General features: G+C 37.0%; 1 long non-coding RNA gene across 16 annotated transcripts in view; it reads left to right on the forward strand.

The window, feature by feature from the left end:
• LINC01811 (long intergenic non-protein coding RNA 1811) overlaps positions 1-19269 on the forward strand; it is a 276733-nt gene that overhangs the window by 175494 nt on the left and 81970 nt on the right. For 13 of the 16 annotated variants that reach the window (NR_183677.1, NR_183681.1, NR_183686.1 and 10 more), the window contains one exon: positions 11365-11432. The exons of the other annotated variants lie outside the window; for them this stretch is intronic. This is a non-coding gene — a long non-coding RNA (long intergenic non-protein coding RNA 1811). The remainder of the gene's footprint in view (positions 1-11364; positions 11433-19269) is intronic. 16 annotated transcript variants of the gene reach the window in all.

Genomic DNA, 19269 nt, shown 5'->3' on the forward strand with positions numbered 1-19269 from the left:
TTTCTTGTTGCCATACATTGATGTTTGGCCATTTTTTTGAGCAGTCACTTCTTCCAGACTTGATGGACTTTTTTATTTTAGAAAGACCTTCCCCTATGGGGTGTGTGTGTGTGAGCGTGCTTGCTGGTTATGATACAGTGGTTCTGGCACCAGTGAAAGCTCTGGCAGCTGATATGGGCATTGACAGTGATTTCAGGGATCCTCAGAGGTCATGACTCTGTTTGTTCAAAGTGACAATGAGGGTTTTTGGGGTCTTTGGTGATGATGACTGCTTAGGATTTCCTGATCTCTTTTTCTCCCACTGGGAAAGTTGTGGTTGAGGAGATTTTTCCTAGTCTTGTGTCTGGCTTATAGAGCCACTCATGGTGGCAATGGCTCTGGTGTCTGATAAGCGATATCCGTAAAGTAGCCATGTTGCTGAGATTTGAATCCAAAGCACGCATGGAGAAATTATAGGTCCTGGATCTGAGGCAGTAATGGTACTGGAACCAGGGGTGTCGGCACTTCCACTACTGTGGTGGTAACAGTATGCAAAGCAGTGATACTTATGAAGCATCCAGGGACCTGATAAAAGGAGCACAGGCTTACACAGAGTTAGAGCAGCTCCAGGGTCAGGGCAGGGCCTAACTCTCTATGAAAGGTGATCTAGTACCTGGGGTTCAGGCACCCCCAAACCCAGCTACTTTGTTAGTAACATTATGTGAGGCACAGGTACTTGTGAAGCAGCCAGGGAGCTGAGAATGGGAGCATAGGCTTTCATACAATCAGAGTGCTCTGGGGTTAAGGTGGGGCCTAGCTCTCTATGGTGGCAGAGCCAGTGCCCAGACTATGGACATACAAAGTAAGAACCTGGTTGTGGGCCCTGGAGTGTGAAGTAGCTTGTTATGACAATGGCTCCAGTGTTTGAGACGTTGGTGGGGTAGTGCTGCCACAGAGCCCGGGTCTGTAGGAGGACGCATTCATGGGGTGGCTGTGTCTTTATGGTCAGAGTATTTCTGGGATTGAGAGAGGTGATAGCTCTGTTCCTGAAGTGGCTCAACAGAGGGTGCTTTTTGGGTGGGGGATGGGAGTGCAGCTGTGTTTCCCTTTCTCGGATTCCCCAGTGAGAATGGCTGTTTGTTACTTCAGGGGCAAAAGATGCCAGTGTTCACTGAAAAGCAGGCCACTGGGGACCATGGTGGCTCTTGCCATATGACTGATGCCAAGAGCCTTTGCCTTTCTTCCTTTTTTCTAGCCATGTCCTAGTATCTCAAGTGCGCTGAATTCACCAATGATTCTTTCTGTGTAAATATTCTTTGGGTTTTTGCTCCACCGTGTTGCTGCAAATTTTTTAATGGGTCCTTGAGTCCTCTCTGTGCTATTTTGGTTTGTGGATATCTATCTTCTATCTAATTTTTTGTGGACAGATAAAGGCTAATATCTCATATTCCATTGTATTGCTGATATAAATCTCCTGAATTTTGGAAAGTTTAAATTTTACTCACTTAATCTTGCAGTTGAATATAGCTCCCCACTCACTAAATGTGGAAGCTGTTGAATATAGCTCTCAACTCATCAAATGTGGAAGCTAATTCAAAGAAAACATAAATGAACATCTGAATTTCTCCCCTGCTACAATAATTTTTAATCAGGTGTATTTCCCCCACTTTCCATGCCTGTAGTTTTACCCATGTGATTAATTTCGAGATGCTGGAATCAGAGTTATGTGAAATTTCTGAGCTATGTCTTGGAAGTGAGGGGTACACACCCTTTTCCTTTTTCTTCCACCCTGCTTTTCAGAGTGTGGATATAATGATGAGGCATTTTAAAAACCATGTGGACAAAACATCCATGGCAGAAAATGAGACAGTAGAAGCCTGGATCACAGATAAATTTGTAAAAACAGAAATTTCTTAACAGCTTTGACTTTTATGTGAAAGTAAAATAAACTTCTACCTAGTTTAAGCCCGTATTATTTTGTTGTCACATGGAGGCAATTTTGTACTGAAACACCTTTCTCTCAAAGGCATCATGTAGACTTAGCTGATTCACCCAATACTATTTCTTAACGGTAAGATCCCTTCTTTTACGGAATACTACCTTCAAAGTTAATATTTGATGTACTTGATACTTTGGGTTTCAGGAGCTAGCCCCACAATTTACATCTGTCTATCCCACACTGTCAGGCCCACATTTACAAGATGAACATCTGCAGGAGACCTTTGCTCTATTATCAATTCGAAGTGTTTCCTGCAAAGTCCACCAAATATTCAAGGTAAGTATAGAAACTGAGTATTCATTACCTTTGGACACACTGGGACACATCAAAATTTTGTGTATATAATTTTTGAGAGGAAGGTTCATAGCTTTTTTAAAAGCAGATTTTAGAGATAATTGACTTAAAACAGATTAGTAATCTCTATGGTGTTTACCAGAGCCACAGATACCAGCAGAACCTATTTATCCTGCCTCCCAGTGCTCATTGTCTGAGTAGAGGTCTCACCCAGAAAATAAAGAATTGAATATCAGAACACAGGTTATCTGATTTTAATCATTCCTGACATTTGTTATTTATATCAACAAGCCCTACTGAGAGAGAATGAAGCCAAATACTTTATAAAAATGCATTAGGTCAGGCCCTCATCATTTCTCACCTGGTTTACCTTGACACTTTCTAACTGGTCTCTCTGCCTTCACTTCTATCTCTTACTGTCCTGACTCCTCACTTTTGCCAGAGTGAACTTTTGAAAACGCAAAACCAACATATGTAAGTAAGTCAAACTACTCAATAACAAGAAAACAAATAATCCAATTAAAAATGAGCAAAGGACCTGAATAGATGTTTCTCTAAAAGACATACAAATGTCTAACAGATATGTGGAAAAATGCTCAACATCACTAAGCATCAGGAAATTGCAAATCAAAACTGCAATGAGATATAACCTCACACCTGTTAGAATGACTATGACAAAAATATGAAACATTAGTGTTTTCAGGGGTGTGGAGAAAAGGGAACCCTTGCCTACTGTTGGTGAAAGTGTAAATTAGTAGAGCCATATTGGAGAGTAGTATGGAGGTTTCTCAAAACACTAAAAATTGAATTACCATATGATTCAGCAATCCCACTATATAGCCAAAGGAGAGGAAATATGTATGTGAAAGGAAGATCTGCACTCCCACTTTTATTGCAGTGTTATTCACAATAGCCAAGATATTGAGTCAGCCTAAGTGTCTAGCAACAGACAGCTGGATCAAAATGTGTTAAATATGCAATAGAATACTATTCAGCCTTAAAAAAAGAAGGAAATTTTGTAATTTGTGTCAACATAGAAGAATCTAGAGGACATTATGCTAAGTGAAATAAGCCAGTCACAGAAAGACAAATACCACATAATTTAATTTACATGTGGATTTGAAGAAGTTGAACTCATAGAACTAGAGAGTAGAAGGGCGATTAACAGAGGCTGAGGAGGTAGGGTGGACAGGGAAAGGAGGGATGCTGGACAGAGTTCAAAGTTTCACTTAGGAAGAATAAATTCTGGTAATTTGTTGCACAGCATGGTGGCTATAGTTAATAATAATATATTTTACAAAATTGCTAAAACAGTGGATACTAAATGTTCTCACCACAAAGAAATGATAAATATTTGAGGTGATGAATATGTCAATTAGCTGATTTGATCATTACACTAATTGTACATATATTGAAACATTACATGTAGCCCATAAATATATACAATTATTTGTCAATTAAAAATATTAAGTTTTCCAAAAAAAAAAGGCAAAACCAAAAATATTCTCAGGCTTGTCATTTGATCCTACTTGTCTTTCTACATGTTTCTTATTTCCATTCACTCTGTGGCCAAGACAGGCTGAGTTTTTCACCTTTTAAACATTTCTGCCCTTGCCAGCTGAGAACTACACTCATCCTTCAAGGTTCAGCCCAGTCTCCATCCTCTTGGGGAAGTCTTTCAGAATATCCACACACAGACTTAAGATGCATCAGCTTGGCTCCCAAGGTGCCTTGTACATATCTTTATTAAAGTTCTAATCATACTTTTGCTTTGGCTCATGTTTGAGTCCCCCCCAAGAGACTCTACTGCCTCCTGTTCATCATTGTATCTTCAGCACATGAATGAATGGAAAGATCACTGAATAGTGAATTACTGCTTGGTTGTTTTGCTTCCAGTAAATCAGAATGTATAATAATTTATATGAATTGACTGGATTGCAGTTCCTTTAAGCAATGGGGCATATTTAAGCCTTTTTTTTTCCTGCATGGAAATGAGAAAATGATTGTCATTTATTCCAAAGGTGCTTATAATTAATTGAGGAGCTGGTGAAAAGTTTAAAGCACACAAATGAAGAAAATCAGTTATGTTTTTTGGAAAGATTATCTGACAGTGCTGTTCAGTTTGAATCATGCCAGCCCTTACATCAGCTGGTGGCTCTTCAATCTCGTATATGTTTTGCTCTGGCTGGTGGGCTGCCGCCACAGCCGCCTTGCTGTTCTCTAGATTTCTCTTTTTGAACACGTCAGATTTAACGAACAATTAGACATTTCCCCAAACATCCCCATGCTGTCTCCACCTGAAATACCCTTTTCTGTACTTGGCTCTCATATGCTTCAGGTTCGTTTCACCTGTTACTTCTTGGGAAAGTTTTCTTGGACTTCTGTATATGGATAATTCCTCATTCTTGGGGCCTGTTGCATCCCTTTACCATGCTGTATCATGCACACTACTTGCTTGCCTGTCTCCTTGTGGGATTTTAATCTAATTGATGGAAAGAAATTCATTCCATGGTCTCCAAAGTCCGAGCCTAATGTTCCAAGTGGGTTTAAGTGGGTTCCTGAGCTTAGTGTCCCAAGTGGGTTTAGGTGTCTTAAGTGGGTTTCGTAAGTAATCTAAGGAAAGAATGAATGTGGGGAGATTAGATGTAAGGCCACTGGATAGGTAGGCAGTCTGGATGCTAAATAATTAGGGCTTGACTTTGGAGGCAATGAAAATGGATGGAGTGGAGGATGTGTTACAAAAGTAGCCCTTGACTGGATGTCACGAGTAAAGCAGAAGAGAACATCAAAAGTGGTGGAACCTGTTGGCTTGGTTCAGAAGACTGGATGTGCAAGGAGCAGAAATACAAGGGGCAGGGGGATAATTTTAGGTAGAAACAGTGATTCTATAAAAGTTGAATTTAACAAAGGACTTAGTACTGTAAGCATTTAAGATAGCTTTGACGATTTTCTACTATTGGAAGTTTCTTTCGTTTGTGGAACCTAAATTTCCAATATGTAATTTAAACTCAGTTTGATACAAAATTTTCTTCCTTTTAAATTTTATTCTCCTGAATAAATGTGTTTGCTTTAAAGGGAGAAATAAATATTTGAAAAGAGTAAACAATTGAAAAATTAAAATATGAATAATTTACACGCTGTCAGTTATTTTTTTGATTACTAAATTGTGTGTTCATTGAATGCTGATTATATTTAAATATCTCCTTCAGTGTTGCTAAGGGAAATACACTTTCTTAGCTGACTTTTGTGTATAGACTTAATTTTTGCGTATATTGTGTATATTGTTCCCAGTTTATTTTTTAAAGAATGATAACTATTATTTTTCACAAACACATTCATTTTTGAATAAAAATGCAAAAATCGGACATTCAAAAAGAAAAAAATTGCCTAAAATTCCACTGCCCTGTTTTTAACATTTATAAACACAACTCTAGATATTTCTTTATTAATATACATATGGAGTACATATAGTTGGGGGAGAGAGAGAGAGAAAACATAATTATCAAGATTGGAATTATAAAGCACATGCTATTTTTATTGAACATATTAAACATAATCCTTCTTTAATTTAGCAGAGATAAATTTGCAGTGGAATTAAAAGAACCAGTGATCTCATAATTCTCACAGTTGCTTAGATCAAGTTTTGTATTTAAATGAATTTAATGTTAACCACCAGTCCTCATTTTATGTTTCTTCTTTCTTCCTATTGTTTATATTTTGATATGTCTGTTTGCTAGCAGAATTTTATCCTCTAGTACTCTATTCAAGCAAGGCCCGGAAGTGCTGGCTTTTCTAAGTTATTGCATACTAAACAATGTATGTTTGTTGCTTTTAAACTTTATACTTGAAGGACTACTTGTCAGTTATTTTTTCCTCAGATCACTGGGACCAGTTGTCTACTGCTTTCTGGCTTTGATAGTATTGCTTTGCATAAATCTAAAATTAACTCTTTTTTTCTATTTAAATGACAGCTTGATATTTCCTTTTTAACTCTGTGTTGCAAACTATCACACACATATAGAAAATCTGCAAAGAACAAAACAAGCACCTATGTATGCCTCGCCTAGGTCAAGAAACAGCGCATTGCCTGCACTCTCCACTGACTTCTCAGGACTTGCAAAATCCCCACACCAAAAGTGGCTTCTCATGGAGGGCTCACCTTACATCTTTGACTTTTCCTAGTTCTTGTGATTGCAATTCTTTACTACCTTATTTGCTTTTCAGTGTCTTCCAGCATGTTTTTAAAAAAGGGGGTTTTCCAGCTTTTCTACTAGCTATCTTCAGTGGGAATGTTGTTCTGAATTATATAATTCACCATTACCGGAAGCTGAACTTCCCAAGGTGGTTTGTTAACATTGAATTTCAGTGACTTTGGTAGGATCTAATTACAATGCTTATTATTGTTTACCTTTTTTTTTTTTAATTGAGGAAAGGGCAGGTCACTACCCTTTTCATCTACAAATTTAATTCTTTATGTCTGAAAAAGTTTCTGTATTTTAATAATTGAATTTATATATCATTTGTTCATCAAGAACAATTTTGTGTGGGATGAATTTCTCTTATCTTCTATATCCATCACCGTCTCTATAACCAGCTACAAAAATCAAAATGTTATTGAAGTACTATATTCATACAGAAAAGTGCTCAAATTTTAAGTGTGTAGCTTGATGACTCGTCACCAGCTGAGCATATTCATGTAAGCAATACTCAGTTTAAAAAATTCAACCTTATTAGATTTCCAAAAGTCTCTCTTGTGTCCACAAATATTCAGTCTCTTAATACCAGAGATTAGTTATGCTTGATTTTGAACTTTGTATAAATGGCATTATGTTATGTAATCTTTTGTTTCAAACTTACTTTACTCAATGATACATAAATAAGTTTTATCCATGTTGCTATGGGTAGTTGTTTATTCATTATTATTACTGCATAGTATTCCATTGTGTGATTATATTACAATTTATTAGCCTCTTTTTAATGGACTTTGGAGGGTTTTCAGTTTTTGACAGTTACAAATAATGATGTTCTGAACAGTCTAGTACGTGCCTTTTGGTGAACATGTTTATACGTTTCTTCTGTATACTTTCCTAAGAGTGGAATTGCTAGGTCATAGAATAAGCACTTGCTCAACTTTAGTAGATATCACGAAACAGTTTTCCAAAATGGTTGTACCAATATACACTACCACTAGCAGCATATGCTATGAAAGTTCCAGTTTTTCCACATTGCTACACTCACTTAGTATTGTCTTTTTCATTTTAGCCACTCTGATAGATAGTTTTTAAATAAACTACATTCATTTCTTTTCCATTTGTATTCTAAATTTCCAATGGCTTCAGTTCTGCATCTTTCAGATTTCTCTTTTCTGGGTCTCAGTCCTTTCATTTCTAAATTAACTATATTATCCTGAATGTTGGAATTGTGGCAAACAAGTTCCTAGGCTGCTTATTTTCCTTTTTCACTGTACATCTAAAATTCTCTCTATAGGTTTCTGAAATAGCTGTTTTTTGGCAATTAAATATCACAATGCAAATTATCTTCCAAGGAAGCCTCACCTTAAATTTCCTGATTTCTTTTTCAAGACAACCTGGGGAAAGATGGCAAGCAGCTGTAGCTTGACAGAGTGCTGGCATTTTGTCTGATCAGTCTAGATATACTGATCATCTAGTGTTGTTAAAGAAACTTTAAGTGAGCCACTTTCTTTGATTAAAATTTGAACTGAAAAAATTGCTTGTAAGAGCAGAGCCTCAATGCTGGGATTTGAATCCACACTGTTGCAAATGCCTCTCATTTCCTTTCTATGTCTTATAACATTCAGCACTTTGATTTCCTGAATACTATGGTGCAACAGAGCTGTGCGGTGTCATTTTATACCTTCTTGGTAACTTTTACTGAGGAGTTGTACAAACAAAACAAAACCAAGCTATAGAGAGACCCCATTTCAGGCTGCAAAAACCTGTCTGATGATTATCCTACAGTTCCTTCTCAAACAGGAAGAATGCCTCCAAAAAGCAAGCAATCAATCCACTCTGAGGCATACCCCTAGAGTTGCACAATATCAGGAGATTGCTGCTTGATTGATCTTTGGCTGAAGATAGCTCTGGCTGTTTATATTTTCTGCATTTATGTTTATTAATTTCAGAGCTCACTCATTGTTGGTGCTGCTGCTGATCATAATAACCAACGTAAGAAAAACATACTGACTTTTTGTTTTTCCCTTCTTCCCCATTTTTCAAAGCAAAATTTATGTAGTGGTCTCATTCATGCCTGAAACAAGTAATATTAATGACTTTAGTGACATAAGGCTTCATTCACGGAAGATTCCCTACTGAGGTAATTCTGAGTGATGTGCTTTAATAATGAGGAGAGTCCAGATTAGAAATTCTCATTATCTTATGCTCTGTGTGAAAACATGTCTCACCATCCAAGACCAGAGAGAAGGTAAAACTTTCCATTAATCATTCCAGTTACATGAATTCTAGTTACACTTTAATTTGACCTAGCTATATTTGCCCTATCTAAGCCCCTTAGTTGAGATGGAGAAATAGATTCCATGAGAAGATTAATATATTTATTGTAGACGTGTGGATTCACGGCATCTCAGTTGGAGGAACATTGAGGCTAAAGTATTTATATCCTCCACATAACATGTGAAATTTCTCCTTGAAGCATCTGTGCTAAATACCTATATGAAGATTTCTGACAAATCTTAGAGACCTGAATCAGCATCCTCTCTTGAAACTCCTTGGAAGTGGAAATTGAGAGATCTTGGCCTTATTAACCTGGCACTCTAACTAGCCACAGCTGGCAGAGTGGATGGTAGAAACCACCAGGAACATTACTATCTAGGTAAAGCATGATCATGCAAAGTGAAGAGACATTATGCAAAGAATGACAGAAAATACTTGCAAATACCTATCTGACAAGGGATTAATAACCAGAATATATAAGGAGCTCAAACAACTCTATAGGAAAAAATCTAATAACCTGATAAAAATATGGGCAAAATATTTGAATAGACATTTCTCAAAAGAAGACCTACAAAGGGAAAATAGGCATATGAAAAAGTGCTCAACATCATTAATCAGAGAATCATTGATCATTAGAGAAATGAAAATCAAAACTACAATGAAATACAATGAGATATCATCTCACACCAGTTATAACAAAATGACTTCTATCCCCAAAAGACAGGCAATGACACATCCTGGCAAAGATATGGAGAAGAGGGAACCCTCATATGCTATTGGTAGGAATGTAAATTAGTACAATCACTATGGAGAACAGTTTGGAGTTTCCTCAAAAAACTAAAAATTGAGCTACCATATGATCCAGTAATCCCACTGCTGCGTATATACCCAGAAGAAAGGAAATCAGTATATCAAAGACTTATCTGCACTCCCATGTTTTTTGCAGCTCTGTTCACAGTAGCCAAGATTTGGAAGCAACCTAAGTGTCCATCAGCGGATGAATAGAGAAAGAAAATGTGGTACTTATACACAATGGAGTACTGTTCAGCCACAAATAAGAATGAGATCCAGTCATTTGCAACAACTGGAAGGAAGTGGAGATCATTATGTTAAGTGAAAAAAAGCCAGGCAGAGAAAGAAAAACATGGCATATTCTGAAACATCACATGTTCTCAGTTATTTGTGGGTTCTAAAAATCAAATCAATTGAACTCATGGAGATAGAGAGTAGAAGGATGGTGATATCCCTTGGCTGTGTCCCCACCCAAATCTCATCCTGAATTGTAGTTCCCATCATCCCCATGTGTCATGGGAAGTGCCCAGTGGGAGACAATTGAATCGTGGGGGTGGTTTCTTTCATGCTATTCTTGTGATAGTAAGTTCTCACAAGATCTGATGTTTTTATACGGGCTTTTCTTCCTTTTGCTTGGCACTTCTCCTTGCTGCCGCCACATGAAGAAGGATGTGTTTGCTTCCCTGTCTGCCATGATTATAGGTTTCCTGAGACCTCTTCAGCCATGCTGAACTGCAAGTCAATTAAACCTCTTTCCTTTATAAATTTCCCAGTCTCGGGTATCTTCATTAGCAGCATGAGAACGGACCAATACAGATGGTTACCAGACGCTGGGAAGGGTAGGGGCGGGGCGGGGTGGGGGCAGGTCTCGGGAGAGTTCGGAGTGATTAGTAGGTACAAAAACAGTGATGAGAAAGAATGAATAAGGCCTATTTGAGAGCACAACAGGGTGACTGTAGTCAATAATAATGTAATTGTATATTTAAAAATAACTAAACAAGTATAATTGGATTGTTTGTAACACAAAGGATAAATGCTTGAGGGGATGGATACTCTGTTCTCCATGATGTGATTATTATGCATTGCATCCCTGTATCAAAACATCTCATGTACCTCATAAATATATACACCTACTACGTGCCCACATAATCATGCATGTCTGCATGTTACACGAGAATCTTGGAATCTGATCTTGGTGTTTCAAAACTGGGATTAAGCTGCATATTGGGATTGTCCGGTGCCTGGGGTTCAAGGAACCAGGGAAGGTTTGTGTAGCTCTGAACAGGCTCTGACTGCAGAAGAGGGATGATAACACAAACAAGAGGTAGCACATCAGGCTTTGTGTGAAACATTTGGCAATGTCATCAGTCTGCACTTTTGACATGTGGGGTTGCTGCCTGTAGGTTCACCGGGAAAAGCACAAGAAAGTCTCTTTGGCTACTTCCCTGGAAAAACACAAGCTTTACTTACTCCAGGGCCTGCTAACCAGGTAGCACTAGGAATGCACATCTGACTTCCCAATTCTTCCTGTTTTGTACATGTAGGTGTAAGGGGCCATAAAAATCTGCTCAAGGAGAAAGTAATGCAGCTGAGCCTCTTTAATGGGTTGGTTTTTTGTGCTGTGATGAGACCTGCAGGGAACACCTGTGCCTCATTTATTCCTTATTTATCATATTTCTTGGTTTTCATGTTGACTACATTGTATATGTAATAAAACAATTAAGAAGGAGAGATTAGTATGTAAAGTAGTTCTGGATAGAGTATAGAATTGGGCTGCTAATAGCATGATGCAGGTGAGATGGGCTAGCATCAATCTGTGTCCTCTTCTAGATCATCAGGATACTTGCCAACAAGGTCACAGTGGACTCCATGGAGCAACTGCCCTCAGGAGGCAACAGGTGTGTGAAGATGGCTCTTTACTTATGATGCTTCCTTCCCAAGATGCTCATTTACATCTGAAATGTATTTAAGCATTTTCCCCCCGATACTGTATGATGATGGAGAAGGTGAGCTCAACCTGTAGGCCATAAAAAGTGGAAGGGAGGCTGCCCAAGAAAGATAAGAAAGATAAATACTTGTTAATAAAGATGATGAGCTGAACTCACTTTCAAAAACCTGTGTGATCATCCCAAGGCTGTATTAAAATGATTCTTCTTTTAACAGAGACATATTTTTATACCTTCCCAGGGAAAAAAATCATATAGTTCTTTAGGATCTATTTTCAATTTGAATAAATGAGTGGGGAGCAGGTGGATTCTGGCTCCTAGTCTCTCCACCCTCATGAGTCTTTCTCTGTGGGAAGGAGAGAGAATTTCTCAGTGGAATAGTGAATTCCAAAACAGCATGTTTCAGTGACACATTTCAGGAAGTCCAGATTTTACCTCTTCTTTTTGGCAGGGTATGGTTTTGCCACTCTCTCTAAAAGCACCTGATTGACTAAGCCCAGTCACCAGGATCCGGCAGCTGGCCAGGACCCTGCGTTGGGGAGGTCCTTTTGGGTCTTTGGCTCAGATGAATTAGCAGCTCAATTGAGCTAGCTGAGCGCAGTACTTGGAGAGGAGGGTTTTGCGGGGTTCAGGCAGTCCATAGTGGTAGCCAGCATGAGCCTTTAAACATGAAGAAATTATTTTGAGATCTTACATGAAGTTGACAGAAATATCACAACACTGTTACAAATTTGATTATTCAAAGATCAGGCAATCTGTAATTGTTTCTTCAGATATTATCACTATCAACCTATATGCACAAGGATATGAAGCAAAATTCTGTAGCTCCTAGAGGGATTATCCTGTCATTAAGCCTTGATTTCAAACTTTCATTTAAATTAGCCTTCACCTGTCTTTCTGAATCTCTTGAATTTGATTTGTCTCCCCTGTGCTGCCCATATGCCTCTGTCTTCATAGGAAATATGATAGCTCATCATGTTTTATGGGATCTTGCTACCGCTGCTATGTGGGACTGTAACCCTTTGTAAAGAGTCGAGAAGCTAATGAACATGCTCTTGGAGATACTTAATCTTTTTTACTTAGTCCTTATTGGTCAGATGACTTTTCAGTCTCTTTGGTCATCTTTGGTTGCAGACCACACACCCACTACATATATGCATGAACTCACCCACATGTGTGCACACATATACAATTGTATACAAACATGCATGCAGAGCATATATGCCCACAAACCATTTCCATTTTGATTTTAATTGATATTTCCCACACTTTGAAATTGTCTTGCAGGATAATGTGGTTGTAAGATGTTTAGGAACATGAAACGTGTGAAATGTAAATGTGAAAACTATTAGAGTAACACGAAATTCAACTACATGAGTTTCCAGTAGGCACCTAAGTCCATTTTATGCTGCTCTAATAGAATACCTGATACTGAGCAATTTATAAAGAATATAAATTTTTTCTCCAGTGTTCTGGAGGCCGAGATGTCCAAGATCAAAGGTGTGGCACTGGCAAGGGCCCTCTTGCTGCATATTCGCATGGCAGAAGGTGAAGGATAAAAGGCGACAAATGTTGTGTCCTCACATGACAGAAAGGATTGATATAAAAAAGTAACATTTTATGAAAAAATATAAAATGTTCAAGGGGGACAAAGTCTACATTGCTAATGGTAAAATCCAAATGAAAATAAACAATCACAAAACTTTAGCTAATGAATGACACAGGAATGTACAAAATAAAAAAAAATTGAAAAAGTCAGGATAATAAGATGCAATATTTTGTATACTAAGTAGATAACAGAATAAAGATAAATCAGCAATAGGATTAATGAGTTGTGTTTAATGGTTGTATTTGAATTATGTCCATCCAAGGAAGAAATAAAAGCACAAATGGAAATAATGTTTGAAAATAATAAAATAATAAATATTAGAGGTTTTTTGTATGTTTTTTAAAAAAGACTTAAGACCACTAAAATAGACAAAATCTCATAAACATGACCAGGGAAAGAAAAATAAATAACCATACAGTTTATTAGGAATGATCAAGAAGATGCAACTAAATCATTATTTGTTTACATTTTAACACATTTAACAGAAAAAATAGAATTCTATGTCAATATATGCCAATATAGATAGACATGAATGAAAGAATAATTTTAAAGGATAATACAAAAAACAATCAATCATAGAATAAGTAGGAAAAAAGCTGAATAGAGCTTGAAAGAAATTATTAAAAGTATCTAAAAATAACCAGTGAAAAAATGATAGACCCATAAGGCTTTAGAAATGAGTTCTTTCAAACCATTATATAACACAAAATTTTTGTGCCAGTTGAAATATTTGATAATAAAAGGTAAGTTTTCCCTCTTTCTTTTCTTATAATTGATTTAACTACAGGAAACTTAGATCGATTTCTTTTAGAAATGGAAATGAAAAATTCTAAACAAATGGTGACTGCATGAACTCTAGTATATTAAAGAAATTATGTGCTATGGCTAAGTAGGTTTTATTACAGAATTTTAATGATGGCTTATTAATAAAATATATGTATGTTATAATAATCCATTATGTTAGTAAGGGAAAACGTATGGCTATCTATTCATGATTAAAGTAAATTATAAGTAAAATAGGGCTAGAAGAGTAGTTTATACATGTAATAAAAATATATCTGACAAAGCACTTAGCATCATACTTGAAACGCAAACACTAGAGTCATGTTCTTTACAAGTCAAGATTGTCAAGATTGTCTGTTCTCCCTGCTACATCACAATTCATATACCGTATAATAAAGATAGCATTTCAAATCAATAGGATAAAACATAGATATTCAATAATATTGTTTGGAAAACTATGAATAATGAAAACACCAAGGAAACAAAATTAGGGAGGATTTGAAGCATTTATATAAGCATAACTCTCAAGTAGACAAAGGATGTAATGGTGGAACAAATGATTAGCATACGTGGAAAGTATAAGTGCATATTTATGTTAGTTTGGAGTGACAAGAGCTTTAAAACTATAATGGAAATTATAAGGAAAGATTTGAAAGGAAATAAAGAAAAATCACTATAAATTAAAAAAAAGAACACTGGAAAAATATTTTTGAACAAATATGGCAGTTACAACGTTAATATCTTTATAAAGAGCTGTTACAAATCAGTAAATATATACATAATCCTTAAAAAAACAGGCAATTGACAGAAAAGGAAACACAAGTTGTCAGGAGACAGGAAAGAAACAATAATGACCTTATCCCTTATCTTACTAGTTAAGCAACAATTGGTGTTGGAAAAATTGAGGGAATGAATGAAAGATAATCAATTAACTCAGGCCAGTAAAAAGTAGTGATTCAGATGCAGGCTTTGAAGTAGAACTATTTGAGTTAAAATGCTCTCCTACCACTAACTGCTAATCTCAGTTTACTTCTCAGTACTCAATGCCAACATTTATAAATTAACAGGGGTTGCCTTTATACAATCACCTGTTGAGGTTATGTGAAAACATGCCCACTTGAAACTTACAGAAGCATATCTAAGCCTAATGTCTGTCTGTTTCTTTATTACCTACTTATTTATTTATATCTGGCATCCACTGTTTATATATCTTTCTAACTATATTTCTACATCTCTATGTTAAGAAGGCATGAGGTGAGAGGGCAATGAAGCAGAGAGAGGAGAGAGAGAAATTGGGTCTGTAAGGGTACACATTCAAAGATGGTTCAGTAGTTATATCTTGCAAATTTTTCTCTATATTTTTACAAGAGTATTTAAGCTGAAAATATATAATATCTATAATAAAATTATTGAAACATGATTTAAAAATGACAGATAGTATGGTAAAGACAGTTCGTTGGCTGTCTTATTATTAAGTCATTTGGGTAATCCCAATATAATGGGATATAATGACTTATATTATTAGTCATTTGGGTAATCCATGACTACTCATACTAGCTAAACCCTGAAATATCAGTGGCTTAGCATGTGCTTTAAGTTTATTTCTTGCTCATATTACTGCTTTATGGAGCCACCCCACTTGGAACGTACGGCCTCTAAGTTTGCCATTTCAAGGGAAGAAAGTAACTGGAAGGTTACTGTGGACTTTTTAAGGGTTTACAGCATTTATTCCCACATTCCTTTGGTTTAAACTTTGTTATATAGTCCAAACCTAATTGTAAAGGGAGCTGGGAGATGCAGAGAAGCCATGGAGATGTGATGAGCATTAATGGTTTCTGCCTTTGCTGGAGTCTGAATGGGACCAAGTTCTCCGGGATAACCCAGTTGCACTGTTAACTCTTTAGAACCATCTCCAGAGTGCTTCATTCTAATAATGCCTTTGCAATAACACCATCACCTGGGAATTGGTTGGAGAGTCTTGAATTAGCCCTCTATTTTCATAAAAGATGGTAAATCTGGCCCATATATCATCATGATCATCATTAAACCCAGAGTAGATCTGCATTCTAGGTCAGAGGACAAAAATGCTGCTTTCTAATTCTTACCTAATGGTTAGCTGAATTAAGAGATATTTGGAAGTGAATAGGGGGGATTTCTCTTTGAAAGTATTATAATTCTTAGACCAAGCAGGACAAATAAAAATACTCCATAAATTCTTCATATTATTCCCTTCCTTTCCGTGTCATTACATCTCTCTCTCCACCCCTCGAGATTGCGTTCATAATTTGCATCTTGGTCTCACGGCTGAAGGTCCTAATGAAACCTATTCTTGCATTTGCATTTGGGTTATTGTGCACAATATATCTGAGTGGTTCATGTATGAACCTCCAAGTAAGAAATTTCTTTCAATACTGAGTTCTAAGAAAAGCTTGGCTTATTTTGAGGGATGTTTTAGTTTACTCATTTATTTATTATTTCATGCTTTCTTTTTTGCTTTGACCACCAGAAGACACACTCAAAACATTAGTTCAACTAGCACACATAGGACATTAAGGGCTGTGAATATGTATTGCACCATCCTTGCCCCCATGCTGATCTTTCATTTAGATTTACATTCTTGGGTCCTAAATTTTCATTTTTGGGTCCTAAATTTTCATTTTTATTTATGTTTTAGTATTTTAACATGCATTTTAAAGTCACCTTAATTCCCATGTGCCAAAGGAGGAGTTATAAATATATTCACCCTGGGGAATCAGCCAGCCCAAGAACTTCCAGGATGATTGCTTGAAGGGCTCTTTTGATACAGACAGTTGGGGTGCATTTGGTTTTGGAGCCAAATTTTACAGAAATGTATCAATTTATTGGGCATTCTCCTGTGCATATTTTAGTAAAGAGCAAGCTTGGATGATAGGATGTTTATGGGAAGTAAAGAGAAATGTGACAGTCAATTTAAAAAGGAACAAAAATAAATCATAGCGAGTCCTTTTAGGATTCACAAAGGGTTTTTGCATTCTTCTAGTCTAGAGGGCATGTTTGTATCTCACTTATGTATTGCTTCACTAATGAGTGGGGAAGTAAGACACTGACTAGACTATTAATATCCCTCTAAAGATAATAGTCATAAGTAAAAAAAATAGGATTTGCCCATTTCTCAGAATATAGAATGTTACAGATAGAGAGCAGTATTAGATTACGCCTATGACCTGGTTTCCATGGCAACACATTCATTATCTTATCTCATTCTTTTCTAAGTTACCCAATTTAACTGCCTTATCCCTTTTATCACACCTCCCCCTCATTAAACACTTACCAGATCCTTTTCTGATGCTATGTAGGCAGTATAACAGCTTTCACAGCTGCTTGCTGAATGAAATGGGCAAATGTGCACACACACTCACACACACACACACAACGCTCTGGGAGTATGTGTAGGGAGAGGAATTTCAGCAGTATTTCAGGATCAAGGGATGCAAGTGGCAGGTATGTGTTCTATATATATATACACATACACAGTGCATCCCTCTGGCACATTTTGTGCAGAAATGTGCCCCACCTTAGTGCACAGAGCTGCCATGTGTCGATTTGATCGAGTTTGGGTTCTCCTGACAGTGTGACAGGCTATTAATCACATGTGACCAAAATAGCACACAAAGGAGAGCACTTCTGTTTTTTTCTTTCCCTGGGTGGGAATGGGTGATTTGCTGAAACTCCTTGTCTTTCCAGTCTTTGTGGTTTCCTTTTTTAGATTTTGTCTTTTTGTCACCCTTCACCCTTATTAGAGGACTTCTCATTTAGAATTGTGAAGTAGGTGTGTTATCTTTGGTGGCTGAGGTCATAGGGACAAAGTCAGCAGAATAGGGATTACATTAAAAAAAATAGACACCTATTTTATATTGACTTGTTTCCTCCTGAGACCCATTGAGAGGATCATATGACTTCACAATTATTGCTTTAATGGCTTTATCTTACTTAGGGGGATGTAATATTCAGGAGTTAAAACATTTTAATGGCCAGGTCATGGTGACAGTAAATGCTTATCTTTGTACGTGTTTATAAATATGTAACCTGGCATATTTATTATGTTTCTACATATTCTATTTCAAGGTGAGGTAATCACATGCTATGCTGTTGGAAATTTCTAGTAGGAGGTAGTGAGCCTTTTATGCCAGAGTCGGCTATCACATGCCATTGCCTTGCTCAGGAGTGGCCTTGGGTACTCGATGTGTCTAACCCCTTCTATCAATGATGAGAAATGGCCAAAAATGAGTGGACTTGATTTCATGGTCCCTATAGCCCAAGAACATAAGTTATGTTGGCTTCATTTGTCACTGTGCCTGAGGTTGGAGTACAGATATGTGGAATCCTGTCTGCAGCAGAAAGGTTATGGGAGATGGGCAAGATCAAAGCCAGGAGAGCAGAGTTCAACCATATTCTAAGGAGGAGTCAGCAGACATTTTCTGTAAATGGCCAGATAGTCTTTGCAGATCATAGTCTGTTACAACCACTCAGCTCTGCTTTTGTAACATGAAAGTGGTCACAGACAATATATTAATGAATGCACATAGCTGTGTTTCAATAAAAATTTATTTACAGAAACAGATAGTGGGCTGAATTTGACCTGCAGGCCATAGTTTGCTGATCCCTGTTCTTAGGAATGGGACCAAGTACATAGTAATTACTGAGATGTGGAGTCAAGCAAGAAAGATGGGGTGATCAACAAATCTGTCAAGAGAAAAAGTAAGAAGTAATAGTAAAACCTGACAATTAAATTATAGTCACCGTATGCCAGTCAATCTTCTAAGTATTTTATGTAGATTAAATCATTGCACCTTCATAACAACAATCCCAGGAGAAAAGTACTTTTTGACTGGCTGAGAAACATGGAGGTTATATGATGATCCCAAGGTCACAACACTGTTTATTGACAGGGCTGGGAACCAAACACAGATTTTAAAATTCATGTTCTTAATCAATGTGATTTATTCATACTGTAAAGCTGTCAAGTGAGAGATGGTCAGGAGGAATTCTGGGGATGGAGTTCATATACCACAGGAGACCTTATATCGTCTCAGAGTGGGCTGAATTTGAAAGCCCAGAATGGGATGGACAGGCTGTACATCCACTACCCCGGCACCAAACTGCAATTGAGTGGGGCTGGAGAAAGGCAGAGGCTGACAGAAAATCTCCACTATGACGTTAACTTTCTTTGCATATGAAATATACAAAGAAATGTGTGTACAAATATACATATTAAAGAGTACACATATTTATAATGTAAGGAATAATAATAAACACCCTTGAATTCACCATCCCACTTAGATTATTATTAAGACCATAGAAGGTTCCTCCAAGTGTCCCTCCCTAGTTCTACTCCATTCTGTCTCCCCCTAAAATAAC

The sequence above is a fragment of the Homo sapiens genome, chromosome 3 (genome assembly GCF_000001405.40).
Source record: "Homo sapiens chromosome 3, GRCh38.p14 Primary Assembly".
Lineage (NCBI taxonomy): Eukaryota > Metazoa > Chordata > Mammalia > Primates > Hominidae > Homo > Homo sapiens.